The sequence below is a fragment of the Homo sapiens genome, chromosome 20, assembly GCF_000001405.40.
Source record: "Homo sapiens chromosome 20, GRCh38.p14 Primary Assembly".
Lineage (NCBI taxonomy): Eukaryota > Metazoa > Chordata > Mammalia > Primates > Hominidae > Homo > Homo sapiens.
In genome coordinates, this window is record NC_000020.11 from 10,628,464 (window position 1) to 10,655,266 (window position 26,803).

Consider the following 26,803-nt stretch of genomic DNA (forward strand, 5'->3'; position numbering starts at 1 on the left):
ACTGATGAAGTCCTGGGCTGACTGTCTACACTGCCTTTTATTTCAGTACTGCAGGCTTCTCTAGTTTTGTACATAACTTTTCAGAAGCAGTTTAGTCAGGTTGGAATAATACATTTGAATAGCTGTGCGTGCAATGCTGAGAACCACTGCAGTCGATGAGGCGTAGCTCATTTCTTCCTAGTGTTTTGGTCATGGTGGCCCGCTGTCTGGCCTAACCCACAGGAAAGACACCCTGCCCTGGACATGGGGGCTGGGCCTGGGATCTGGGGACTGCCTAACAGCATGGGGCTGCAAGCTGCAATCCCTGGGTCCAGGCTGCTGCTTTGCCACTAGTTGGTCTTATATGTTTTGGTACAAGTCATGTAACCTCCCAGGCCTCAGTTTCTTCATCTGTCAAATAAAATTATCTCTAATATTTTAAGTGCCAAACACAGCTTTTAGTGCATCGGGATAAACATTCCCCTCCCATGTATTAATGTCTACATCTGTTTGAAAATGGTTCTCTACACTGGCCACCTACTGGGGTCACCTGGATAGCTTCTAGTTCAATCAGAATCCCTGAGGTTTGGCCTGGGCGTTGGTATTTTTAAAGCTCATCAAATAATGATTCTCAGGAGACACCATAGTTAGAACTATTGTTTAAAAATGTGGTGTGTGCATGTAAATAGCGGATGTTAAAAGAGACAGGGTTCGCTGAGTATTCTTTAGAAGAGGGGCTTTCTGCAAATCAGAAGTGTACCTACTTTCAAGTAAATGAGTAGGCATGGCTTTGGGGACAAGGTGTCAGTCAACAGTCATACATGTTAATCTTACAAAGAGATGTGTTTTGTTTTCTTCTGAAGGCCCCTCTGCATTGGTTCTGCTGCTTTAGAACCTACACATCCCAACGCACCCATCATCTTTGCCAACATTGAGAAATTGTTACCCTCGTTCAGAAGATGGGTCTTTAAAGCACCTAAATAATTGTCTGAAATTTTTACATAAACCTCTGGGGTTTGCCTTTGATCATGATCATTAATATCATTAATAGGCTCTCTCTAAAAGTGCGTGTGAATCTCAAGTTAGCATTTGGCAGGGCAGTGGAAGAATGAATGCTTTTAAAATAGTTTGGCTCAGAAAGTGCATCTGAAATAACCCTGTGGGAAAATCAGGAGAATTTCTCATCCTCCAAAGGATTACCTAGGATGAGATACTGACCTTGTATTTTAAGTTCAGTTGCATTTCTTAAAACCTCATTCATTACCCAGCCTGATTTATTTTAGGAGTGAAGTAGGCTGTGGGAGGGGGCTATATAATGATGTATGGTTTTTATGTTTGCTTTTTGTTTTCTGCACAGTTCCCGAAAGATTTTTTATCATAACGTGTATATATATTTCTTTAAAAAAAAAATCCAGCTTCTTCACAAGATTTACTATGGCTTTTCTCTTAGAAATTAATGCTGAAGAATTCTCTCCTCTTCAGGCTCTAAGGCGATCAAACCCCAGAAGGCTGAGTGTGTGCGGGGTGAGCAGAGCGCTGACCTCTGCCAGGGGAGAGGTCAGTTCAGCACACAAGACTCAAAAGGGAGGAAGAAAAAGCAACTCCTCAGCAGGGAGTTTGACTTGCTTTAGGGCAGAAGAGCTTTTATAAATGAGTTCCCAGTCTCCCACGCCCTCTCGCCTGCACTTCTGTTACCAGTCCTGTTCTGCGCTTAGACACACACACACAGACACACACACACACAGGCACACTCACACCTCATTTCCACTCGTTGCTTCACATCCCTCTCTCCACCTGCCCCAGGAACAGTGGAGAGACTGACAGACCCTGCTCCAGAGGAGGCAGGTGATGGATTGACTGGGAATTTTTCTAGGCCCAGCAGCTCCCAAGGCCTTTTCAGTTCCTCCTTCACATGCTTGACTGGTGAGAAGAACGCAGAAGGCTCTTTCCCAAACCCACGGTGGGTGCCTGGAAAGATGAATACCAGCGCATCCATTCCTATTGTCAGAGGGAGAGGTGGAATGGTAAATCAGGGCAGCCTCCAGCCAGGAGGTGGGAGACTGGGCTGGGTATTTGGGATGTGTCCCAGTAGGAGGAGCCTAGAGGGACCTTCCTGTCACAGCACAAGAGAAGGACCTTGTGAAGCAGCAACATTGCTCTATTGATATATTCTCCTTAAAATGCTGCCCCAGTGAGCCTTGTCCCAGCGCCCTTCTGCTCAGCATGTGGGCCATCTGCCTGTGGCAGAGCCTGGGGCATCTAGAAAAGAATATTCTTAGGTGGCTCTCCTGTGAAAATGCCCCATCAATCAATCTGAAGGCACTTGTAGGCAGCAGAGCTTTCTATGCCAGAGGTGTCAGGGATCTGGGTTGCTATTGGGGTTCTTGTTTTGATGCCAATAAGCATCTTCACCGGAAAGAACCTTCTAGATGTCACCAAAATCTTTACACAGGCTCAAAGACAAGGAGTCTCTGCATCCATCTGTGAATTTTCTACAGCAAATTTTCCCTGTTTTCCCTTGAAGATAGCATTTCCTGGTACCAGTTTATCAAATCTCATGTTCTTCTGGGCCCCAGTTGTAGAAACAACTTTGGCTCTTGTTTTGCATGTCTGTCAAGTCTAATTCCAGGTCCTAATAATGTTGTTTTAGAAAAGCTCACTGAACTTAAGAGAAACCTTAATTTTCTGCTACCAGCAATGCAAGTCTGCCTAGGCCACCTGCCTTGCCCTCCATGCAAGGGCACTCCTAGCAGAGAGATGGTGGGAGAGAAAGTTTGGCTTCACATTTAGCCCCTTCTCAGTGCCAAAGAAATGGCCACTGTGCAGTGACGACGGCCAAGCAGGGAACTTCCTTGTAGGGAAGGCCTCTGAGGAAGCCGGAGGTGGGAATACAAAGTATTTCTGAAATGCCCAACCCACTGAAAACCTCCAGAAAATGGAAGTCAAAACAGTATCTCGTTTCATAAGGAGAGAAAACTATCTCAAGACTTGAGTGTCCTGGAGTCCTCCAAGGCCAGGTATCTGAGCTTACCTCATTTGGCACACATTTTATAAAATAGGGGTTTGGAGGGATATAGAAGAAAAAAACTGTGTTCTATTCTCATTATTCGCAGGCTGTAGACAGCTGTCGACACTCACAGACCACACACTGTTGTAGACTTCAATTAGGCACCAAGTTTTGTACAGTCCTATAGTTCATTCTTGTCTTAAATGAGCTTTTCTTTCTCCTGCACCGGAAGCCGGCTCTGAATTGATCAGGGAAAAAGCTAACAACGATTTGTATAGTCACAACCAAATACGACACCTACAAGTGACATAGCTGGTACGATCCTTTTTAGAAGAAGCCTATGTTAGTTTTCTATCCCTGTGTAACAAATTACCATAAATTGAGAGACTTAAGACAACATAAGTTTATTATCTCACAGTTTTTGACACTTAGCTGGGTCCTCTGCTGAGGGTCTCAAAGGCTGAAATCAGGGCGTCAGCCAGGCTGCATCCTCATCTGGATGCTCAACCAGGGAAAGGTCCACTTCCAAGCTCCCTTGTTGGCAGAATTCAGTTCCTTACATTTGTAGGACTAAGATCCGCATTGTCCCGCTGGCTGTTGGCAGGGGACTTCCTACAAGCCATTTCGCGGGTCCTTGCCACATGACCTCGTCCATTTCATTAATGGAGAAACCTTGGCATTGAATCACTTTCATGCTTTGAATCTCTTTGACTTCTCCTTCTGTGACTAGCCAGAGAAAACTCTCTGCTTTTAAAAAGCTCCTGTAATTAGGTCAGCCCTACCTGGATAATCTACATTTGAAGGCTAACAGATTTGAGACTTTAATGACATCTGCAAAATCCCTTCACAGCAGTACCAGGATTAGCGTTTGATTGAATAACCAGGGACCAGGGAGCTTTGGGAGCCATCGTGGAGTCCTGCCTACGACCAGATCCAACAGCACTTAGCTCTTCTCTGACAGGCCCAGTTTAATGGTGTAACGGTGAGAAAGTAGACTGTCAGTTGGAATCTAGCTGAATTCCTTAATCTTTTAATGGTTACTTAGAGCAAATACTGAAAGCAGTGTTCTTTCCTTTACCTGTAGCCCTTTTCATGAATATTAACTATAGTGGCACACATTTATTGTCACCATGACAGATGAGGAAACTGAGGCACAAAGAATTTTGGAAACTTTCCCAAGTTAGTAAATGGCAGTGCCTAGAATCTGGGTCTGGCAAACCTCAAAGCCCAGAAACTGTGTTGTTAGAGCACACAGGTGGAAAATTTCAAACCAGGAGCTGGAAGGAAGAGCTGCAGTTGGAATCAAAGAAGTTTCACTCCAGAATGCATGCTCTTGACCACTAAGCACACAGCCTGGCTTTGCACACCAAGAGGGTGAAAGTAACAGTCCAGTGAAGGAAGGGTCAGGCCCACGTGGAGGCTGAATGCTCTGCAGGAGATGTTCAGGACCTCTTTTGTAACTGCACTGCAGCCAACACTGTCCGACTGAGAGCTCACAGGAAGCACGGAAATGACAGGGCGTGGAGGTGGAGAAAGCCAGAGATTGTGGTCCCTCCCGGCCCCTTCCCACTCCCTTTACTTTACTAGAGGCACTTTTTTCTTAGTTTGTTGCAAACCTGTAGGACATGTCACGTTTGCGCTCTTCCTTTCTGCTTTATGCCTTGAATTCTTTAAAAATTCTTCTAAAGTAACATCACTGCAAAGCCAGAGAGAGCCCCTGAGGGTATCTGATTGTTCATGTCCTGAACTTGGAGGGTTTATGTTTCTGTCTTGGGGATGGGGTTTTTCCAAGTCACTCAGTGTGGGTGCCTGGGCGCAGAGGAAACTTCTACATAGAATGTACTTCTGGCCTACCCTGACACGACAAACAGGTTGTGGAGGAGTAGCCTTTTGGGGATGTCAGGTGGAGGAAGCAGAGCTGCCCACAGGCAGTTCCAGGAACTCTCAGGTGTGTCTGAACTGGCCCAACCGCACACTGGACGTGGCGAACTTCATCACATTCAAGCGATCTGGATTTTAGTCCTGTTAAATGCTCAGGTGTTTTTGTGGTGATAACCTGGAAGGAAGCTGCCAGGGGGAGTGGGAGTGGTTAGAGAACGTGGGATGAGGCCTAATGATAATTGCAATCACCTGACACTGGCGAGGACCCTGGCACCTGCATCTCAGCCCCGGTGAGCAGCAGTGTGGTTCTGAAAACACCTGTAAAATGTGCATGTGTGCATATGCGTGCACACACACAGGCAGCAATAAGACCTAGTGAGGCTGTTGATTTCCTTTCTGAACCTCTTTTCCTGCAACTCATTTTAATTCTATGAAGCAAAAACTAAAAGGGAAATCAGAAACTTCCCAAGAACAAAGGAACAGCCTACAAAGGAGCAGGGCTTAATCTTCCTTTGATGCAGAAAACACCTATTGCTCCTGGGTTTATACAGATGTCACTTTCTAGGCAGAACCAGTTCAGATTGGCGACACTGTCGTAGCAGTCGCTTCCTGTGACCTCCCTTGAGACTTTGCATCCATTTTTGTGAAGTGCTGATCTCCCAAGGTTTTACCTTTTAAAATCACACTAAGGGCAGGATGCCGGCATAAACCTCGCAAATTCCCAGAAGAGGCAGAAAACACAGCAGCCCAAGAAGCAGGAGCCCAGAGTTCTAGTTCTGGCTATTGCTAACTCTGTATAACTTCAGACAAGTCCTTGAACCTCTCTGGGCCTCAGTTTCCTCTTCTGGGAAAGTAGTGGGGGTTGGATCCTTTGATGGATAAGGTCCTTGATTGCATTAACATCCTGTGATAAAGGTGTTTCACATGTAACATCTATGATAAAGGTATTTCAACTGCACATATCTCAGCAAGGGTGAACTAAAACAGCTTTTCACTCTTCAGGTGCAGAACAGAGGGGGCGAACCTGTTTGGTTGACTGAGTAGTGATTAGGAAGCCAGCTGCAAACTTGTATTTCCCCCGAGGATCACCGATGAGCACCACCAGCCCTGCCAAGAGAGCTTCTCTTTAAAACAAAGCTGTTACTTTCATGTTGCTGGCATCTGCGTTTGCTTTCTGGATAACTCAACCCTTGGGTGCCCTGGTGTGGATATTTGCAGTGCGGGTGGGTTGGAAAAGGCAGCAGGCAGACCTCAATTCAAGGTTCTTACTGGATTTAAGAGCCTTTATTCTCCAGGTTAATTTTCCTGACTTGCGTATCACAGGTTAATACTGGACCCAGGCATAATGATACATAATTTGAGACTTGTAAAAGCTGTCTTGGACTTGAAAGAAACACACTCTAAGCCAGGAAGGTTGTGCCCAGCATGCAAGAGCAAGTAATACAGGTAGAATATATGTCCAAAGCAAGAGAGCCGCACCCTTTTGACATGATCTCAGAGGCTGCCGGGCAGGGTTTAGGCTCCTCGGCTGCCAGGCAGCGATACCACGGCGGCCCTACAAGCATCACTCCCCCCAACCTGCTCTTAGTTTTATTTTAACAGCCATTGGAAGGCAATGGTTCGCAAACGGAAATTCGTTATTTTTAATAGACCCCGAAATACCTCGTGGATTTGAAGTGATGCAACAAGATTGCCCTAATGGTTTCTAAACTTTGTTTTTAAGACTTCTGGGGCCAGAACTGTAGAGAACTGCCTCAGGGCACCCTTCTAGCTCAGATAACCAAGCTGTTTGTTGGCATTGCTGGAGACTGACATACCCTGAGCTGGGATGTTTAGCTGCTTGTGGGGTGGAAAAAAAATGTTAAGAAAAATAATTGTTGTTTTTGCAAACTATCTATTTAAAAACAGAACCTCAGGAAGCAGATTTCTGTTCCAATGCTTGGATGAATCAGAGCTTACAAAGTATAAATACACATTAGCAGGAGGAGGCTTCCCATAACCCATGTGCTTGTTGTATGTCTTCCCAGACCAGGAACCTCTGAACTCCTGTTTCTCATTCCCAGTAGAGGCAAGAAAGAGACCCACAGTCGAAACGGAAATGGTGGAGCATTGCTCAGCCCAAGTTTCAAAGCCCGAAAGGCCTGTAGAACTTTTTTTTTCCTTTAAAGGCAACTGGTTTTTTGCTGCACCTTTGCTCACTTTGGAGCAGACAGGTGTAAGCCATTTGGAAAGGTGGGAAACCCACGCTCTGGCCCATTTTGCTCCTTGCTACCTAAGAAATATTACAGAATAAGTTCATTTTGACTCACTGACCCCTCAGATCAGCTAATAGGCATGAAGCACTTAGACCACATCTTGCTCAAGGGGCGGTGTAATCATTTTACTTAAAAATGATGTCAGGTGGCAATTTAGCAACAAACTGGCTTCCAGGCTATTTAATTCAGTTTAACAAGGAAGAAAAACATTATAATTAGTTAAGAGCTGGTACTGTAGCACTTTAGCAGAGTTGCTCCCAATTTTTAGAGTGCATGAGTCGGGGAGGAAGAGCGAGCTTGTCAAAAATTCAAATTCCCAGGCTCCACTTCTGGTGCATCTGGTCTAATAGGGTCATGGACCAGTCCTGGAAATCTGCATCTTCAAACTGTAAACCCTCTCGCAAATCACCACTGAGTCTCCTTTGGCTTTTAGTCAATTAAGATACATCCTCCCCCTCCACTTTCTATTCAAATTCTACATCATGGAAGTATAGAATCTCAGGACAGAGCTTCCCATCCTAAAAAAACACCAGCTTTAAGTGTTCTTTCCTGGAGTTTCATGGGATATTCTAATGCTAGAGTTCTAGTTAGCCAAGTTTCTGGACTGAAAATTTTTTCTTCCAGGGCCCCTTTAAAGAGAGCCCAGGGCGTTCCTGGGGAATGAATGGTAAAGGCACTGAGTCCCTTCCTCTCAACTTTCCTAACCCCAGGATAACCAGAGCACCATTGCCTGCTTCCTTCTTCCTGAAGGAAGGGGAAAATCCACCCTTCACAATTAAAGTCCTGGCACTGAGCCACATCCAGAGGAGGCTGATCTATGCCCTCCCAATACCAGGGGTGTCCCAGACAGAAGGTGAGTTAAGACAACACCCATGAATCCCAAGATCCCTTCCCTCCTGGAATAAAGAATTGCAGAGACTCATTCAACTTTTTTTTTTTTTTTTCTTGGCACAAAAGCATCTGGCAGCTACCCAAGGAATTCTGGGGTCCTGCAGAATCCAAGTTTACAAACCACCAGAACAAGGTTTTGCTTCAGGATAGTGTTTGACTCCACTGCTGCGAAATGACTGTCTCCTGGCTAGTAGGATCTAGATTTCTCCCTCCCTTTGACCCCACCTTGTGGAAACCCAGCTGTCTACTGGCAGACATTGGTGAGAAAGCGGAGCTACGCTAGGGCAGGGAGATGTCATGGAAACCTCAACTCTTCGCTGTCCGGGTCCTTCAGGCCACCTCCCCAATGAGCCAAAACAGTGTTGGCCCTCTTAGGGTTGTCACAATCCCAAATCCCTCGATGGCCTCTGCTCATGCACAAGGATCCCAGGACACTTAAAGCTCATCTTTCATTCTTAAGATGTTCCTTAGCACAACTCCAAGCCTAGAAGAAAAAATGTTTCCCCGAGAACAAAGAAAAACATCCCCATCAGCTTTTCCTCCATTCAAAGTCTGCTGTGCCAGTTGTATGAAAACCGGACGTGGGTGGACAGGCCTGAATGTTGAAGTGCTGGGGGATGGCTCTGAGAAGGGTGAGCTTTGGCTTTCCTAGCCAGAAGCAGAGTCCTGGTGACTCTGCACGGCTGCTGGAAGCTGTCCATGTGCTTGTTACCACAGCTTATTCCTTCCGCAGAGGTGCCAGAGGCAAAGCTTCTCCCACACCCCACCACGCGATGCGGGGGCAGGGCCTCCACCAGCCACAAGTGAGAGAACCAGAGTTCTCCTGCCCGTGACAGGTGGGGACAGCCCAACTCTGGAACCTCACAGAAGACCAGAACACCAGCACTCCAAGGCTGCATGGTGAGGCCAGAACACTCATTCCCTGGGAACAAGGTGATGAGTGATGAGCCCGAACACCAGAAGCTTGCAACTACCACCTCCTGTGCCGTGAGGAAACCACCCCATGGGTAAATGTGCACAAGAGTCATTTCAGACCACACCCTTACAACAGGACATTAATATGAATCTAAGTAGCCAGGGAAAAAAAAGAGGCAGACATTAAATCTCCCTGCTCGTTTCCCAACACCAATTCCAAACCCTTTAAAACCCTTTCAGTGCTGTGGCCAGTTCCCCTGATTGCTCACAAACAATTCACCTCGACACTACAGGCCATTAATCCAGTGGTGTTTATTCAAGCAGTATTCACACTTGCTGTTGAATAACAAGGGAATCAAGGCTCCCCTAGATGGGGCTCCCGCAGTTCCAGCTTCACAGCAGCCCCAGGTCTTTGAGAACTCCAGATGAGTTTTGTGGTTGAAAAGCCTTTCAGTTCTTCCTCCATCCCTCTGTCAGGCAGAGCCTATTATACCCCGATTACCAGAACAGACTCAGCAGGGTGGCAGAAGCACATGGCAAAGCCGGTAGAACTACGTAAGCTCAGAAGAGGCCACACTGTTCCATGTTTTCATACAAAAAAATTTAATAAATATTACTTTTCAAAATTTATTGCCAAGAACAACACATCAAAGATGCATTTGTATGTTCATATAACACTAATAGGACAATACAAAGTATCTTCACGGTCTCAATGGTGAACCAACAAGATTACTCTGTTTTATAAGCCTTTTTGATCTTGAACTTCGTAATAGCACTTTGATTTCCTCACTTAAGGCAGGCAGTGTACTCTATGGCAAATCTAAACAGTGATCTTACTGGACATTTTATGGTTCAAGTATTCAACTAGCTTATTAGAATACTCCCTAAATGCAGTAGATTAAAAAAAAAAATCAAATCTACAAGTGGTTCAGTATTATGTACGAATGGTGAAAAGAAATCAGAATTTACAAAGTAAGATTGGTGTGCTTCCAAGTTCACACAATTAATTTGATATTTTTAATCATATTCAACCACTCACATTTTGGCTATGTTAAGTCATAGCTCAACTTGTTCCCTTACTGCTCTGCAGCAGATCACCTGCCTGTCTCTTTTCAAGTCTAAAGCAGAAAAACAAAAAACAAACAAACAAAAAAACCTGTTCTAAACTAATCCTCAAACTGCCTCAGTCAGTCCTTAAAACGTGTTTTAAGTGATGCTATAGAAGGTGTTTTAAACATCTGACGTCGTACAAAAAAATTCCATCAGTATTCTGGGCACAGAAGCCCATCCTATTGTTTTAAAATAAACTATTTTCAAACACCTTAATTTTGGCTTATAGGCAACAAGTAATGAGAAGAGTTCAAAAAAATAAAGCCATACGCTTACAATGCTATCAAAAACCTTCAATTCTAAACACATACATATAAATAAAAAGGAATGATGTTTTAAGGCTCTTGATTATTAAGTTAATAAATCAAATATACACAGTGATTAATAAAAAAGAATTATTTACATAACTATACAAAGTTCTACTTTTGACATTTTTTTCTTTAAATTCTTCATTTTACCAGCAACTGCTGACATCAAAGTCTCCCCTCCCCCAACAACAAAAATACAATTAAAAAAAATAAATAATAAAGTCATTTGTGATCGTTGCTGTGGTTCTGAGCTGCAAAGGCACTTTCAAATACAGAACTACTTGTACGTCATCATAAAACCAATATACAAAAACAACTCAAGAGTCAATAAATATAAATAAAACTATGATCTAAGACTGCATCACCATTAGGACATCTGGCAGAAGTGGGAGCTCAAAGACCAGGGGGCTGGGCAGGCTCCTGGGAGCCTGATCCGAGACCGTGTCGGCTGCAAGGGGACACACAACCAGGGTACTGTTGACTAGCTTTTTGCATAGCTGTGAGATGCGGCACTCGATTTCCCAGCCAACCACAGAAACTACCATTGCCAGTGTAAGCCAGCTTGTCAAAACTTAAATTAACACAGGGATTCTAAGTCAGCAACGGCCTCAGACTCGAGTATGACACGACAGTTTAAAGAACTACAAGCCCTCAGACTCTACCTAGCGGCGGCAGTGCCCGCGGTCTGCTATACGATGTACTCCATTCGGTTTAAGCTCTGGGCACTTTCCAAGTCTCTGTTGTCCTGTTTGTTTGTCCAGTTTGGGTGTTTTGTCGGCGTGCCGTTGGGGGGCTTCTCTTCTCTGTCTACCAGCGTGTACGCCGGCTGCTTGGCAAACCGGGCTTTCTGCTGGTGTTTGTCCATGTCGTCCTCTTCTACTTCAGAATTGTGTGTCCTTATTTTAGACATTTTGGAGTTCTTGTTCTCATAATCCTTGATGGGGACCGTGTTGGCCCCATGTTTCTCAATGGGGTTTTTGATCTGGTTCAGCTGCTCCCGCACGTTGTTGGTGGTGTTGTCCTCAGAGGCTGAGTGTGTGTGGCTGCCCGGCTTCCGCCGCTTCCGCAGGCACCAGTAGAAGGCCGTCACCAAGCAACAGATCCAAGCCACAGTTAAGACAGAGCTCAGCAAGGGAACAAGGAAATCTGTAAGGCAGGCACAAAACCAATTAACTCTCCAAGAAAGAAAGAAAAAAGCATCATCGCAGGAACAAAAGAATACCAACAGTGGTTCTCCTGCCCTTTATCCCTAAGAGGGGGGCCACAGGGACAAGTCCCTTTTCATCATTGCATATGGTCACTTCACAACTTGATAAGCAAATGCTGGGATCAGGCCCCTGTAGACCTTGATACTCTTATCCCTGGAGAGACTGGGTGGAGCGGCAGCTCCTACAGGCTCTTTGACTTCGCATGGGGAGAGCAGTGTCTTGTTAAGTCTGGCTACTGAGGCAGCTCAGTACAGGAGTTGGTTTTCAGAACTAGAAATCCGATTCAAATTAGCACAGACAGCTCAAACGTGCCATGGCTCCATGCCCAATCTCTCCCTTGGCTGAAACGGTGCTCGAGATCCTCAGGAGGGAAGCCTGGACACCCCTGCGGGGCCATCGAGCCTCACAGAGCTCAGCAGTGGCTAGGCTGTCCCAGGACACCAAAATGCCAAGTCAGGCTTTGTACAGCTTCAAACTCAAGGACAAAGGACAAGCAGTGTCCTAGGGCTTTGTCACGGATCTAGCACAATACCTGTTCTGCAGGGAACGTTGCATAGTGTGTTGGGAAGGAAAATATGAGGCAGACCTCTGTTCCCATGGGCCATGTGACCTTAGTAAAGTAGGCTGCCCTCAGTTCTCAGTTAAATTGGGAGCTCCTGCGAGGGTAGGGCACTGCCAGATAATCCCTCGACCTGATGGCTTTATTGAATAGTATAATGAGATCATCTACTATCATCACACAAACTAGTCCCACTTGACACCTACCTGTTCTGTTCTTCAGAGGCCGCCTCTGAACTCTTACTTCTGCAACGGCAGCAATCAGCGAGCTGTTTCCATCACGTTTACTAACAAGATCGATTATTTTGTCAGTGATTTCCTTGATCGGGTTCCCATCATCCCGTATATCTTCAGCAGACTGGAAAAACAATTGTCAGACTTGAGAGTCAGAGGAATACTCAAAGCAGCCTTTCTTCAAAATTACTCGACAATCTGTGTCTGCAAAGCTTTTTGTCAGTGAATTTGCTCCATTCAGACACTGGTTAACCGAACTGCCTTGCCATCGAATAATGAGGTGTGAATGGGTCTTATACTTACAATGGCCACATGTATTTCATTGTTCGCTGAAGGGGAAGGCTCGCAAGCGATGTAGATTGAATATTCAGCGGAAACATTCTTCAAAATATTCAAATTCCTCAATTCACTGCAAATGTGCTCCGTAGTAAGACCCTAAAACGATTTTTAAAAACCCACACACGTGTAAGATTGAGAGGAAGAACAAAAGGCTGAGATGTTCTCTTTGAGGCTGGCTAAGTTCAAGCTTACTTTATTATAAAACAGGAATGTAAGCTAGGGAGAAGTAGATCCTAGCTCATGGCATTCCTCCTTTAAAGCAAGCAAGCAGACATCCACCATTCAAAAAAAAAACAAAGGTTGTTACATACTGGTGACATCATCTCCTTGTTAAAGGTAAATGTGATGTTCGCACAGTTATCCTGGTAATAGGAGTCAGAGGTGCACTTTGTCTTCACCGGCTGGAGACTGGAAGACCGACACTCGCCCACACCAGTGCAGGGGTGGACGAAGCACTGGTCGTCCAGGATGGGGATGCAGCTCTGCCCGCTGGGGCACTCGCTGTGCCCTTTGTGGAGCAGGCAAGGTCGAGGGCCACACCAGACCTGGAGAAAAACAGAAGCTGGCAGCTTAGCAGGCATGCTCATCCCTGATTCCAGAACACAGGTGAACTGCGGCAGCCATCATGTCCTACCTTTGAGCAGGCGATCCGTCCATTCAGGCACTGGCAGGTATTACAGTCATCATCCCATTTGGCCCCATCTGGTATCACACTCCCCATGGTGATGCAAGGTCTCCCTGAAACTGACAGGTGGAGACGGGTGAGCAGTTTATTTTTCTGTGAACCGGATCGGGGTTCAATTCTTTGGTCCCTGTTATGAAATGGTTATGCCTGTGCCCTTTGCCATGTTAAGATCATTCTTCCCACAGTAACAGCATGTGTACTTCCTGCCTTTGCTGGCTCTGCGCTTGGCCACAAGACTTGCTCTGGCCAATGTAACATTGGCAGATGTGATGTGAGCAGAGCCTTTGACTAGCCTCTTGCACACCTACCCACTGGCGATGAAAGGAATATGCCCCAGACACAGCCACTGGTCGAACTGAACCCAACCCACAGCGCAATCTCTCTGCCCATGCTGCATATCATGAGCAATAAAAATAATGCTTGCTGCAAGCCACAGCAGTTTGGGATGGTTTGGTACACAGTTTTGTGGCAACAGCTGACCAAAAACAACAGCTACCTGTTTTGGGGAAGACTCTTCACGTTCCCTTTCCCTTGTAGTCCCACTGTGTGTTCCCTTCCCTGAGCACAGTGGCTTATTTGTGAAAAGTCAAATGGTGACTGCAAAGCTCGCTCACCCCAGAAGACCCATGGGCAGCTGAAGCCTGGCACACATACCTTCCTGGCACTTGGCACCACTGTGCCCTGGAGGGCAGACACACCGGTAGCCATTGATCTCATCCACACAGGTCGCTCCAAAGGCACAAGGTGAAGACTGGCATTCATTGATGTCTAGGAGAAATGGAGTTCAAGTTTAGGGACTGATGGTGTGTGGCAATGTTTTGAGATTGTTTTTATTGACATAACATACAAGAAAAGCATATCATCATAAGCTTGATGAATTTTCACTCAGGTAAGCAGCATCCAAAAGAAGAAACAGATCTATTGCAAAAACCTCCAATCACTGGCTCCCAAAGACCACCACCATCCTGAGTTCTAACAGTGGAGAACCATTTTGGGAGGCAGCAATTTTTAATTTGATTCCTTTGACAGTGCAATTTACAGCAAGCCTGGCAAAGTTTCCTGGAAGGGGTCAGACAGTAAACATCTTAGGCTTTGTGGGGTATATAGTCTCTGTCACAACTATCCAACTCTTGTGGTATCATGAAAGTAGCCATAGACAATACATAAATGAATGTGTGGCTGTGTGCCAAGAAAACTGTATTTATAAAAACAGACAGTGGGCTGGATACGGCCCCTGGGCCACAGTTTGCCAACTGTTTATTTAGAAACATGAAACAGATACAACCTGCCCCCATCTAGTGCTGAAGACTAGTTAATCCCAGACTTGGATTTCAAGCACCAGTAAAATTTCAGACAATTTGGGTACAAGAATCAAACCATAACTACTCTAGCACCTTTTTTGTTCTGTAAGAGAAAGGGCTTGTAAAAAAGTAGAGAAAAGGCTCAAAATAATATGCTTTAAGCCTCTTGAAAAACTGCGTTGCCTGCCCCTATTTTCCTGTTTTAGTCATTTCTCCAGGGCCTGATCAGACCCAGCACAGACAAGCCTCTGGAAGCCACAGTCGTCCTCCCTTCCGTTTGTATTAGCTTTATCCTATACCAGTGTAGCTGTGGTTAACATCTGCTTGCCCATAATTTCATGTTAGTCATGGGGAAATGCACATACTTTCTTCAGGACCCCACTGTAGATTAATCATCAGATTCTGTGACTGGCACTCTCTCCCCAAGAACAAGGAGGGCTACACCACCCAGGGAACTACCAGCAGGTACCTGGGAGGATCCAGCCTGGCATATCTTAATCCCAGCTGGAGGAGAGAGATCCTTTGCTCTATGAGAGCTACTTAAAGGGAATGGTGGCTTTGTTTTTAAAGATGAAAGTCTTGGGGTGAGGCATGGAATGAAGCGGTAAAGCCATTGGGAAAACCAGACGGAGACAGTCCTTACTTATTCTGCAGTCGGGCCCAGCAAAACCCGGGGCACATTCGCACCGGTACCAGTTGTCTCCATCCACACAGGTGCCGCTGTTGTAACTAAGAAAGCAAAGACCACCTTGGTTACCAACCTCCCAGTCCATTACTCTGGCTGCCAATCACTCACATGTCACCACACCAGTTACAGTCAGTGGCTCTCACCCCATGGCCGTTGCCTGGGGAATTTTAAAAGAATACTGATGCCTGGGTCCCACCCCCAGAAAGTCTAATTTCACAGGTCTTGGTTGCAGCCCAGGCAGCGGGATTTTTAAAAGCTCCCAGGTGATTCTGGTGTGCAGCCAAGGTTGAAAAATCACTGCTCTAAATGAGGACACAACCTGGCTAATTAAAGTGTGGTCCATGGGGCAGCAGGATCGCTTCACCTGGGAGCTTGTTAGAAAAGCAGTCTGAGGCCCCACCCCAGACCTCCTGACTCAGAACTTGCATTTTAAACACAATCCCTGGGTGATTCTCACACACACACACACACACACACACACACACACACACACGATAGTGGATGAGTGCTGGCTTAAAAGGATGTCACACTTACCAGGGATGAGGGCTGCAGTCATTGGTATCTGCAAAGAAAAGACAACTTAATAGTGAGGACTTCAACAGGGAAAGCGGTCTTAGCCCTAAGTAAAACCACCACTTATTTTCCTAATACCCAAATGATAAAGTCGTAGTTAACACCAGCAAAATACCTTTGCTAAATTGGAACCAGGCCCGCACCACACTTAGTTTCATTTGCTGTGGGACACATGTACACAGGAAGAGGCCCTGGTAGGGGATAGGGGTGGGGGTGAGAATGGAAGGAGACAGGCTGCTGGTCAGACCCAGAGCTGGGAACTGAGACGCCATCTGTCTCCACTTATCTTATTGGCGACTTTCTCATGCCCAGGTCAGGGCTGTATCCCATCAAGTCATTAATGCAGACCCAGGTGATACAAAAGCAGACATCAAACAGCTCTGCTTCTGGTTTCCATTGCAAGTCCCCAAGGGTGTCAGGATCTGCTCCGACAGCCCTGGGAGAGTTCAAGGGGGGAGGACACTCACTCTGAGCACAGATGGGCCCCTCCCAGCCTTCCTTGCAGACGCACGTAAAGGACTCGCCGTTGACCACACATGTGCCCCCATTATGGCAGGGGTTGGGCAGGCAGCTACTGTTTCGGGCTATAAAAGAAGAGCAGACACGACCACCCTCCCTGAGTATCCAGAAACAGTCTGGAGGGGCAAGAACCAGGCCCAGAGAAATATCATAAGCTCCAGGGGCCAACCAGCAGACACGCCCAGGTGGCCATGCCCACTGCAGATCCCACGTGGGGCATAAAGTTACCTATGTTACAGGTTGTTCCTTCCCAGCCGCCAGGACACATGCACTTAAAAGCATCCCCCTCATCATAGCAGGTGCCACCGTTGTTGCACGTGGCCTCATCACACTGACTGTCACCTGGAGGAAAATATTTCAGTGTGAGTCCCAGTGGCCCCCTCCCACAGAAGACAGAGGGAAGGGTCCCAGAGATAGCATCCAAGGCCAACTACCACTTACGTGAGTGGCAGGTCTTTCCTTTCCACCCATTTTTACAGTCACAGTAGAAGTCATTGACCAGGTCGCGACACGTGCCCCCATTGTGGCAGGGGTTCTGGCTGCAGTCATTAATATCTAGAATCAAAGGGGAGACAATCGGCTGAAGACGAGATCCAGGACCATTCACGACAGGCGAGAGCCAAGCCTTTCCTACTGCTTACATCCAACATCCTATTCTGAGAACAGCCACAGTCGTAGTACTTTAACACAATCAGGCTTTTCCAGGAATAAAGGAGCTCCCAACTGGGTTACTTTGAATGCCACAAGTTAGGCAAGATGTGGGGTGGGCCTCTGGAAGTCCCATGGAAATGAAAGTAGAAATATGACTTTCCTTGCAAGCAGGAATATTTATTACACAGTCTAATTCTATAGGTCCTCAGCAGAAGCTCCTCCCCATAAGCTATCATCAGGACTCATAAATGCAAATGAGACACAAGTGATACTGTCCCAGTGCAGAAATCACTGCGGTCTTGCTTCCAGAGATTTCCAGTACAAAGAAAGTTTTCCCACGTTGAAGTGGGATCCCTCCAACATGACCCATACATCCCAGAGCTCCCCAAAGAGTGGCAGACTCACTGGTTTCACAGTAGGCCCCCTCCCAGCCGTCACTACAGATGCACTTGTAGGAGTTGACACCATCGATGCAAGTGCCACCGTTTCTACAAGGGTTGCTCTCACAGTCATTAATATCTATGAAACAAAGTAAAGCAAAAAAAGAACTGAAGGACTTGTGAAGCCATAGACAAGCACTGTTCAGCAGTTTTCATGGCTCCCTCCTGACACAATGCACCTGGCACCTCCACCTGCTACCCTCCATCAGGGCTGTTTCTCAAATTAGACAGGCGGCTTATCAAGCAGAAGCTTCCAGAGAGTGCCTTACCCACTTAATGCCCTCACATGGGCATTTAGTCACCGGTACTAGGTGAAAGTGGGGAAGAAACTCCTACAGAAAAGAGGAATCACCCAACCTAGCAACATTCCAGAATGTTCCAACATAGATATGGAGGCTCCGAGGCAGAGTGATCTGGTAAATTGAACACGACCTCAGTCTTAGATCCCAGATGTAAGGATAAGTCTCAACCAGTCTCCCCAGCCTTACTGTTTCTGATTAAAACAATTTCAACACTGCTGGGCATGGTGGCTCACACCTGTAATCCCAGCACTTTGGGAGGCCAAGTTGGGGGTCGGGGGGTGGATCATCTGAGGCTGGGAGTTCGAGACCAGCCTGACCAACATGGGGAAACCCCATCTCTACTAAAAATACAAAATTAGCTGGGCGTGGTGGGCGTGGTGCGCATGCCTGTAATCCCAGCTACTCAGGAAGGCTGAGGCAGGCAGGAGAATCGCTTGAACCTGGGAGGCCGAGGTTGTGGTGAGCCGAGATCGTGCCACTGCACTCTAGCCTGGGCAACAACAGCGAAATTCGGTCTCAAAAAAAAAAAAAAAACTTTCAACACCAATGATCCCAGGGTGGGCCAGGGGCAGAGGCAGGGGCAGGGGCAGGCTGGGGAGCACTGGTCCATTCCCGGATGAGGGAGTCTTACTTTCATGGCAGTATGTTCCCGTGAAGCCTTTGTTACAGTCACAGGTGAATTTGCCTCCCGACTGACTCTTGCACTTCCCGTGAGGACCACAGACGTTGGAGGAAATATACCGCACCCCTTCAGGTGTGTCGTTGGAAGCCATGGCCACTGTGCAGCTGTCAATCACTAGAAGATAGGCTTGGGATCAGATCACAGCCATGCACCCACAGATGCGGCATTCCTAAGCCAAGGGCCTGGGCCAAGCCCACTTTCCTGGAGACAGGGACCCTCTGGCTAATGAGACACACCCCAGGGAAGCCAAGATACTGGCAACGTGCCACATCACATTATGACAGGCAAAGTTGAGACTCCAGGCAAAGAGTTTTAAAGCATTTTCTCCCTCCACACAACCAGGAAAACCCACATGCTTGTGGATCCCCTTCATCCTACCTTTGACATCTACCCAATTTGGTAAACACTTGCTAAGGCAAAAGGACCTGCTTTATTTACTTCCTTTTTGATCTTAAGCAAGGCTCAAGGACAATCTTATAGAAGCTTTAAATGTTGTGCTGCCTAATACAGCAGCCACCGGCCACATGTGGCTATTTACATTTAAATGAACTAAAATGAAATAAAATCAGTTTCTAGTTACACTAGTCACAGTCCACATGGCCTGGGGCTCCCATACCTGACCGTGCAGATACAGAACATCCCCCTCTGTCTGCCGTTGCAGGAAGTTCTGTTGACAGTGTTGTTCTCAGGCATTTGCCTCAGCGTTGCACATCAGCCCACCCCAGAACAGGAATGCTAAATGGATTTCACATTCTCTCCCCTGGGCTACTTGTAGACACGGCTCTCCCACTGGCAGGCCGGAATAGATTGTTTCCACGTGTTGCGGCCCGCTACACAGGCAGGATCATTTCACTATAGAGGTCCTCCTCACCAATACATTACTTCTCAAGTGTAACAAGGGGCAGTGGTAGTAAGTGGGGACAAAAGGAGCAAGTCTGGAGACAGCCAGGTCCCGGGAGAAGGGAGGTACCTTCACAGGGGGTCGTGCGGCAGTGGTCTTTCAGGTGTGAGCAGTTCTTGCCCTCATAGTCCTCGGGGCACTTGCAGAAATAGTCACTGGCACGGTTGTAGCACTGGGCACCGTTCTGGCAGGGATTAGGCTCACAATAATCGATGTCCAGCTGCAAATATCAGGAACAGCGAAAAGGGGGAGGGATCAGAGTAAAACAAAGGTGTCACGATAACTTCTCTGGGGCAGCAGGCACTGGAATCTGACAGTTCCTTCGGTTTCTATTAGGAGACACCCTGTAAGATACATCTCTATGCTGTAGGGACTGCCAATGTCCAGTATTTGAAACAACGGGGCAGAGTGGGAGAGGGAGCACAAGAGGGGGTGGAGGGAACCAAAAAGAACACAAAGACGAAGACACTAAGAAGAAAATAATTCGTCAGTATCTCCTTCCACCAGCATTTGTCTAGCAGAGACTCTCTCATCAATAGGATGTTAATAGATGTTAGGAAATTCCAGACACAAGAGCTGAGGGAAAAGTAAAGGGAAGCGGAGGAGGCAGCGGCTCTGCTCTAAAAACTTGGCCATCTGAGGTTTTGCCACCACTCACCTGACAGAGGTTTCCAGAGAAACCAGTGGGACACAGACACTGGAATCTGTTGATTTCATTCTGACAGTGACCCCCATTCAAACAGGGGTTGCTGGCACATTCATCGATGTCTCTCTCACAGTGATCGCCTGCATAGCCAGGTGGACAGATACAGCGATAACCATTAACCAAATCCTAGAAGAGGAGAAGGGGAGAGAGAGACACATGCTTTTTTTCTATGTATTCCACAAACACAGGGCTTCAGCGGTTTAGCATGACTGTTGCGGTTTAGCTGGTTCACTGAAATAGCCAAATGCTAAACCTCTGAAAGTGGTTAGAGGAATTTCTATGTGCATGCCTTCAAAATGACTCCCACGAGGCTGGGGTAACATAAGCCCTAGCGAAACTTCCAAGAGACTCTTTTTTCACCCAAATTTTTAAATCTCACAGGGACAGAGCTCTCCTAGTGTCGCACAAATCTAAAGATTTGTTGTCAATTGTCAAAGTTTTGATTTAAGCAAAGATTTACATACCCGACAGGAGGCGTCATTCTGACACTGGCCAAGGCAGTCATTAATATCTAAAAAATAAATAAGTCATCATTTTAAAGAGGTAATTTACAGTGAAATTGGGCTTAATTGAAAAGCCTTCTCAGCTCAGGATAGATAAGTTTCAAATCAGATTTCCTGTGTGCTTTCCGTGAGATAAGGTTATTACGCTGGGTGGGGACCCTCCCTAATTCTTCCAGAATGAGGGAGTGAAACTTCACATCATTGTTTCAGCCACATTATCAGAATATGGCTGGTTTTCGCAGCTAATGAGCCTGATAAAGTGTATGTTTTCACTGCTGCCCTGACCACTCCCTCTCAAAAAACCATTCCCACTCTAAGGTTTTCCTTCTACTGCTCAAGTCCTAGGACTGGAGCCCCAGTACGGACCAGCAAGTCGGCTACCCAAGTTTCATGAAAATCAAAATGGAAACAAAGTCACTCACTTATGTCACAATTCTGACCCATCCAGCCGGGAAGACAGTCGCAGTAGTAGCTGGCAATGAGATTCTTACAGGATTTGGCGTTTACACAAGGTTTGGCCTCACATTCATTTGCATCTGAAAGGAGATGGGGATGAGCATGAGAAATGAAGTTCAACCCCCATCTCCCCCACCTTGGAAAAAAAAAGAACAGGCCAGAGTTTGTCTGAGACATGAGACATTTTAATAAGCTAGCTAAATAAAAGATACTAGAGGTTCCCTCTATTTTAAGCATCTGATCCCTCTCCCTAGCTATTATCCAATAAGAACCCTAATTGATAACTTTCCAGCTGCTAGTTAACCAGCCCCCAACAAAACAGCAGAAAGCCACCAGGCATTTCTGTGCAAAACCCAGGCAGCCTAGTTGCTGGGATTTAAATGTGGCAAAAAGAATGCAGACAGCTCATTCCTCATGAGATCATCCCCTTTTGGAACCCAGCTGAACACTCCTCGGACAGACGATTGACATGGTTCAAGGAATCCCACGACTTTCCCACAGGGCCTAAAAGAGCTAGTCCATTTGCATTCAAGTTATTTCTCCCAGGCCTGCTAGACTCTTGATAATAAATTACTTCTTAGCATGATGGAGTGTGAACTCACACTGCCGGCCACACGCTCGTCTTCTGTAATGGCTTTGACAATCAAAGCCAACCTTGGTATAAAAATTACAGTCACAGGGATGTTCTTACCTAACTGGCACGTTTTCCCAGTCCACTGTGGGGGGCACACACACTTAAATCCGTTAACCAGGTCCTGGCAGGTGCCCCCGTGGGAACAGTTATTAGGAGAACAGTCATCAATGTCTGGTCAACAAGAAAAGGAGGGGGTTGACAATTTAATTCAATCCATCTGACAATTAGATCCTTTAACATCACCTCTTACATGAGGGGCTGTCATTGAAGAGCCAGACACCTGCTACAAGGAAAGCTACAGCAGGACAAGTGGGACGGTGACGATAAGGCCGAAGCCTTGATTTTAGCTTTAAATCCCCCACTGCCCCAGTTCATGTAATCCCCAACCTAAGCAGTGGGGGAGAAAGACAGCTGGATACTGACGGAGCATCCGCCCAGGAGGAACACAGGACATCTCTATCTGCCTAATCTTTATTTTTAAAGAAAAGTTTCATCATGGCTCAGAAGTAGCTAAGAAGTCAGGAAAAATAGTTCTTTACAGGTGGAAAACCTTATTCCTCTCATTTGCTTACAGAGTTTGCCCAAAATAGCACACCTAGAGGCTGCATTCTCCACTTCTGCTCTGACCAGAGACAACTCCTAACAATTTATGAAGTATTCACTTTTGTGTCTTTATGACAACCTCGGAGATGGGAATTGCTACTGTGCCATTTAAAGAGGGCCCGGGGAGCTTCTGTGGCCTGCTGGAGTTCCGCAAGTGACAGGTGGGGGCCTAGGACCAGCACAGGCAATCTGACCCCAGAAATCCACATCCATAACCACACCTGGGGTGCTGATGACAGCGGTTCTCAGACCTGGCTGCACTGCAGAATTCCAGAAGTTTATCAAAGACCATGGACTCCCCGATTCTGGAGGGAATCTGGGGGACCCAGAGATTTACACTGTAAAGCAGCCCAGGTGATTCTGATATACAGCCCTGTCTCACAGCCAAAGGAACTCTGCAGGCCAGGTTCTTCTCTGGGGCCCCCTGGCCCTATGACAGAATCCAGTAGTAAGTGACAACCTCCCCTGAAGGCAGCCTCTCCATGGCTGCAAGAAGAATAACCACAATTGGAAGGTGGCCAGCTCCAGGAAGCAGATGCAAAGGAACAAGCGATTCCACGAGGACGTTCCTTCCAAGAACAGATACATGCGCTACCTTAGTGGGACAGGATGGGGGTGCTGGGAGACTTCCAAACACACAAGCCACCAGACTGCTTACCAGACTTAGGCCTGCACCCGCCCCTCTCTCACCGAGACATTCACACTGGACAAGCCTAGGTACCTCTCCCCAGCGTGGTATCTTGGCACAAGGATCCTTAGAATGGACACAGGCTGAAAATTGGACTTACTTGTAGAGCATGTGGGGCCGGTCCAGCCTGGGGAACACTCACACTCAAAGCCCAGGGAGGTCTCCTTACAGCTGCCTCTGTTGTGACAGGGATCAGAGAGGCAGGCGTGCTCAGCTGCAAAAACCAGGATGGCAGTCAGAGAGGGATGCCTGCACACCGTTACCTCCCCACACCCCCCTCCAACCGAATCCCACACCACAGCCACTAGTGCAAGCATATTTCAAAAACCAAAAGCAAGCGTGTGATAGAACCCTGCTGTGTCTAGGAAAGAAAGGAAGTCATCTTTCTCGCTGAGCTGTCTCTAACCACATTCCAAGACATCTCAGAGCTGGGGTCATTTCATCTCCCGCTGCCTCCTATACGAATCAGCATCACCCAAAAAACTTTAGAGACTTGAAAGTTACAAAGGCTTATAGAATGGTTGGGATAAGGCCTATCTTTGGAAGCTATTTTCACTTTTTTTTCCTTAAACAAGTCCTTAAGTATATTTTTTAAAAGCTGAGTACAGAAAAATTAGACAAAGGGCTCTCATTCATCTTGGACCACTTACCAATTTCACAGTTGGGTCCTGAATACCCCTCAGGGCAGGAACACTGATATTTGTCAGGGCCTGTGTTGCTACAAGTTCCCCCGTTGAGACACGGCTGATGAGTCCCACAGTAATTGAGATCTGCCAAAAAGATCCTGGAGTCACTAAGAGACGCCTGTGAAGATGGCGAACCCACCATGTTTCTAGCCCCAGTCGTCTTTTAAAAAGAAAAACCAGAAAACCCACACAGCATTCAAGGAGAATTCAGAATAAAAGCCCCTGCCAATAAAATTAGAAACCAAATTAGTGCCATCCCACCCCCAGATCCCACCCTGGGTCTCATCCCTAAGGGCCATACCTTTGTCACAGAGCTGGCCGCCCCAGTTGGTCTCACAGAGGCACTGCCAGGGCTCATTACAGATGCCGTGGACGCATCCCGGGTGTGGGATGCACTTATCACAGTACAGGCCTTGCCAGCCGTACTGGCACCTGGAGACACACAGCACACCTCCAGGTTAGCCTTTTGAACGTTAAGAGACACCTGTACAATTCAAATGGAAGACTGCAAAGTCCAGGCTTTTTCTGTTTTGTTTCTGGGGACAGGAAGGTAGACTCCCAAGGCTCATCAGGGGCTCCGTATAAACAAACATTTTCACAGTTGAGCTGAGGTCCCCTCCCAGCCGACTCCTGACAAAAGGAGGGCTGTTTGGGAAGAGGCCAGCATGGGGATGCCCTTCACAAAGCCACTCTCTTCTCAGGCTCACACGAGTGAGCCAAAGGTGAAGGCATGGAATAAATCAACCCGTGCACCTAGTTGCGACAGACTATAGAGGAAAGGACTCTCTCGGTGACAAGAGAGCTATGCCAAAGTCTCTGCAGACGCTGCACTTGCCACTCTGCTCTTTGTCTGCACAGAAAGTCATGACCCCAGTGCACAGAAATGCAACAAGCCACCAAGTGCAGCAGGAAACTGCCTCACGATGACGCTTTATTTAAAAAAACAAGGAGAGAAAGGGGCACCCTCCCTTGGCCAAAGCCAGAGTAGGCTCTCTAAACCCACTTCTATAGGGAAGGAGAAGGAAATGACAACACTTGGAACCAACTCCATAATTTGTGTCCCATTACTGTGTGCTAATTTATAGTGATTTCTTGCTTTGCCAAGAAAAGAAAAAAAAAAGAAAGCAGTCTGCTTAATTTATCTAGTATTGGCGGAGTTGAGGTTCTTTTATATAAGCACCTTGATTAATCATACTCTTTTGGGGCCAAATAGTGCCTCTGATCCCCAAGCAAAAACAAAAACAAATACAACAACTTTCATCTGGGGTGGGAGAGGGGGCAGCGTCTCAAACCACTCTCCCTTGAATTTTCAAGCCCTCTGAAACTTTAATTGCCTTCTCAAGAGCCAAGCTTTAACAAGGGTGGGGGAAGGCAGGGAGAAACATCAACTAGCCTCCCGGTGGAGCGTGGAGGGTGGAGGGTGGAGGGTGGGGTGCGGGTGGGATGGGCAACATGTTTCCAGAACGGGACCTGGGAAAAGCCACGATCAGCGCCAACCCCCTAAGCTGCTCAGCTGTAACTCTGGAAAACAACCCCCGCCCCCTCTAGCTCCCCAGAAGGAAAGGCTTTCGGTTTCCCAAGAGCGGGAGGCAGGCTAGCAAATCCTTGTCATGGGAAAATTATAGGGATCTAGCTAATAGCTAATCACCCACGGCTGAGAGTCAACTTAACCCCTGAGAATACTGACTAACCACTTCCTAACTTCTGAAACCAAGCTATGCACACCCACATGCAAAGAAATCACTAGAATGTGTGGTTTAAAGTTAGACACTGGATTCTGGTTTATGTAAAATGGAATGTCAACGTGACAAGTGACTAAAGGAGTAAGATAAGAACAAAATTACAATCTAAATAATTTCTCAAAAGCGGACACCCACGTTAGTGGGAGGTAAGGGTGTAGCCATTCTGTCAAGGCTGATATTCTTAGCCTGAAAGATAGTAAGAGGGAACTGATTACGAAATGGCAATATTCTCACCGTCTTCCCTTATTCTCTTCCAAATTCAGGATCACTAGCCCTCTTCAAGTTGCCTCATAAAGGCAAGGAGAGGCAGCTGAGGACCCAACCTCACCTAATTAAAGAGACCTCAATCCCCAAGCATAAAAAAGCAACCACAAGAGGCCATGGATGACTTCAAAAGAAAACAAATAAAAATACTGACCCTAAAAGAGGCACCAACCAAGTTATCCCAGTTTAATAATATATGATTAAGATTCTCATGAGAAATTGAAGTGACTTTCCTCAGATGATGATTCATAATTAAGTTTGATATTATTGGCAGGCTTGCAATAAGCAAGCATGTATACCCAGGGAAAGGGACTCAGTCTACTTGGGAACAACAAAAACCAGTAAATTTTCTCATGTGGGGGTGAAAAAAAAAATAACCTGTGTAATACATAATCCAAAAGACAACTTGCAGGTAACTTGCCATTCAACTATTTCTGCAGCAGGACACAACCTGAACTTCCTCAGCGTGAAGGTTCTGTTTTGACTTTCTTTCAAGGTAGGGAGGGAAAACTGGGCTGGGAGACTATGCAAATGATGTGTGGGAAAGTCGCACCTTAAGTAAATAAGGCCATCAGTGCGTGTCTGGGCAGGGAGAGGGAGGTGGGACTTCGAAAGAGAAAGGGCTAAATTCTGGAAACAAAGCCTGTTGTTCTGGCTGGGAGGGCCCTCCCCTGTATAGCTGTATGTGTGTTCTGATGACAGCAGCACAAATCACAGTCGGCCTCCGCTGATATCCATCTGAGCAGGCAGCAGGCTTGGAATCACTAATAGCACTGCCATTGGGACTTTCTCCAGAACACCCTTAATTAGGAAGAGTTAAGGTAGGTGGATTCCTGCTCCGCATTGGACAGCAATGCTGTTAAATACTACAGTCCATCGCCACCAATGGGAGACAGCAGGAGAAGCCCCTCAGCCTTCCAGGAAATAAACTATCTTTCTGAAGTGTAGGAAGAGACAATTCGGGACAACCAGTTCTTAATTTAGTTCCATGTTCCCCCTTGCATGGGAGGGGAACAGACGGAGCGGTGGAATCATAAAGGTAAAGGCCACAGATAGTTCTCTTTAAAGGAGTAGCCTCAAAATTTACTAAGCAG

The 26,803-nt window shown here is 46.6% G+C and overlaps 1 protein-coding gene and 1 non-coding gene across 2 annotated transcripts in view, besides 6 other annotated features; both read right to left on the reverse strand.

Moving 5' to 3' along the window:
- Nucleotides 8,267-9,063: an enhancer, noted in NCBI's record as "OCT4-NANOG-H3K27ac-H3K4me1 hESC enhancer chr20:10617378-10618174 (GRCh37/hg19 assembly coordinates)". NCBI's record gives its function as "activates a minimal SCP1, AML or CMV promoter by ChIP-STARR-seq in naive and primed H9 embryonic stem cells {active_cell/tissue: H9 hESC(naive and primed)}" and the evidence as "EXISTENCE:reporter gene assay evidence [ECO:0000049][PMID:30033119]".
- Nucleotides 9,064-9,860: an enhancer, noted in NCBI's record as "OCT4-NANOG-H3K27ac-H3K4me1 hESC enhancer chr20:10618175-10618971 (GRCh37/hg19 assembly coordinates)". NCBI's record gives its function as "activates a minimal SCP1, AML or CMV promoter by ChIP-STARR-seq in naive H9 embryonic stem cells {active_cell/tissue: H9 hESC(naive)}" and the evidence as "EXISTENCE:reporter gene assay evidence [ECO:0000049][PMID:30033119]".
- JAG1 (jagged canonical Notch ligand 1) overlaps nt 9,221-26,803 on the reverse strand; it is a 36,316-nt gene continuing 18,733 nt past the window's right edge. The window contains exons 6-26 of the mRNA NM_000214.3: nt 24,005-24,135; nt 23,668-23,787; nt 23,118-23,231; nt 21,784-21,897; nt 21,059-21,172; nt 20,598-20,644; nt 20,086-20,259; nt 19,497-19,647; nt 18,476-18,640; nt 17,508-17,621; nt 16,893-17,006; nt 16,680-16,793; nt 16,400-16,516; nt 15,894-15,921; nt 15,315-15,400; nt 14,025-14,138; nt 13,320-13,429; nt 12,997-13,230; nt 12,650-12,781; nt 12,320-12,470; nt 9,221-11,492 (exon numbers count right to left, since the gene is read on the reverse strand). Of these exons, the coding sequence (NP_000205.1) occupies nt 11,035-11,492; nt 12,320-12,470; nt 12,650-12,781; nt 12,997-13,230; nt 13,320-13,429; nt 14,025-14,138; nt 15,315-15,400; nt 15,894-15,921; nt 16,400-16,516; nt 16,680-16,793; nt 16,893-17,006; nt 17,508-17,621; nt 18,476-18,640; nt 19,497-19,647; nt 20,086-20,259; nt 20,598-20,644; nt 21,059-21,172; nt 21,784-21,897; nt 23,118-23,231; nt 23,668-23,787; nt 24,005-24,135 (2,902 nt within the window). The 3' untranslated portion in view covers nt 9,221-11,034. The remainder of the gene's footprint in view (nt 11,493-12,319; nt 12,471-12,649; nt 12,782-12,996; nt 13,231-13,319; nt 13,430-14,024; nt 14,139-15,314; nt 15,401-15,893; nt 15,922-16,399; nt 16,517-16,679; nt 16,794-16,892; nt 17,007-17,507; nt 17,622-18,475; nt 18,641-19,496; nt 19,648-20,085; nt 20,260-20,597; nt 20,645-21,058; nt 21,173-21,783; nt 21,898-23,117; nt 23,232-23,667; nt 23,788-24,004; nt 24,136-26,803) is intronic.
- Nucleotides 12,188-12,963: an enhancer, noted in NCBI's record as "NANOG-H3K27ac-H3K4me1 hESC enhancer chr20:10621299-10622074 (GRCh37/hg19 assembly coordinates)". NCBI's record gives its function as "activates a minimal SCP1, AML or CMV promoter by ChIP-STARR-seq in naive H9 embryonic stem cells {active_cell/tissue: H9 hESC(naive)}" and the evidence as "EXISTENCE:reporter gene assay evidence [ECO:0000049][PMID:30033119]".
- Nucleotides 12,964-13,739: an enhancer, noted in NCBI's record as "H3K27ac-H3K4me1 hESC enhancer chr20:10622075-10622850 (GRCh37/hg19 assembly coordinates)". NCBI's record gives its function as "activates a minimal SCP1, AML or CMV promoter by ChIP-STARR-seq in naive H9 embryonic stem cells {active_cell/tissue: H9 hESC(naive)}" and the evidence as "EXISTENCE:reporter gene assay evidence [ECO:0000049][PMID:30033119]".
- Nucleotides 19,204-19,253: a silencer, noted in NCBI's record as "silent region_12672". NCBI's record gives its function as "represses an Ori minimal core promoter by ATAC-STARR-seq in GM12878 lymphoblastoid cells {active_cell/tissue: GM12878}" and the evidence as "EXISTENCE:reporter gene assay evidence [ECO:0000049][PMID:35858748]".
- On the reverse strand, nt 21,173-21,232 carry MIR6870 (microRNA 6870). Its single transcript, NR_106930.1, has one exon. It is a non-coding gene; the product is annotated as a microRNA 6870 (primary transcript).
- Nucleotides 22,718-23,012: a silencer, noted in NCBI's record as "tiled region #15707; K562 Repressive non-DNase unmatched - State 22:ReprW". NCBI's record gives its function as "represses a minimal TATA promoter and a strong SV40 promoter by Sharpr-MPRA in K562 cells {active_cell/tissue: K562}" and the evidence as "EXISTENCE:reporter gene assay evidence [ECO:0000049][PMID:27701403]".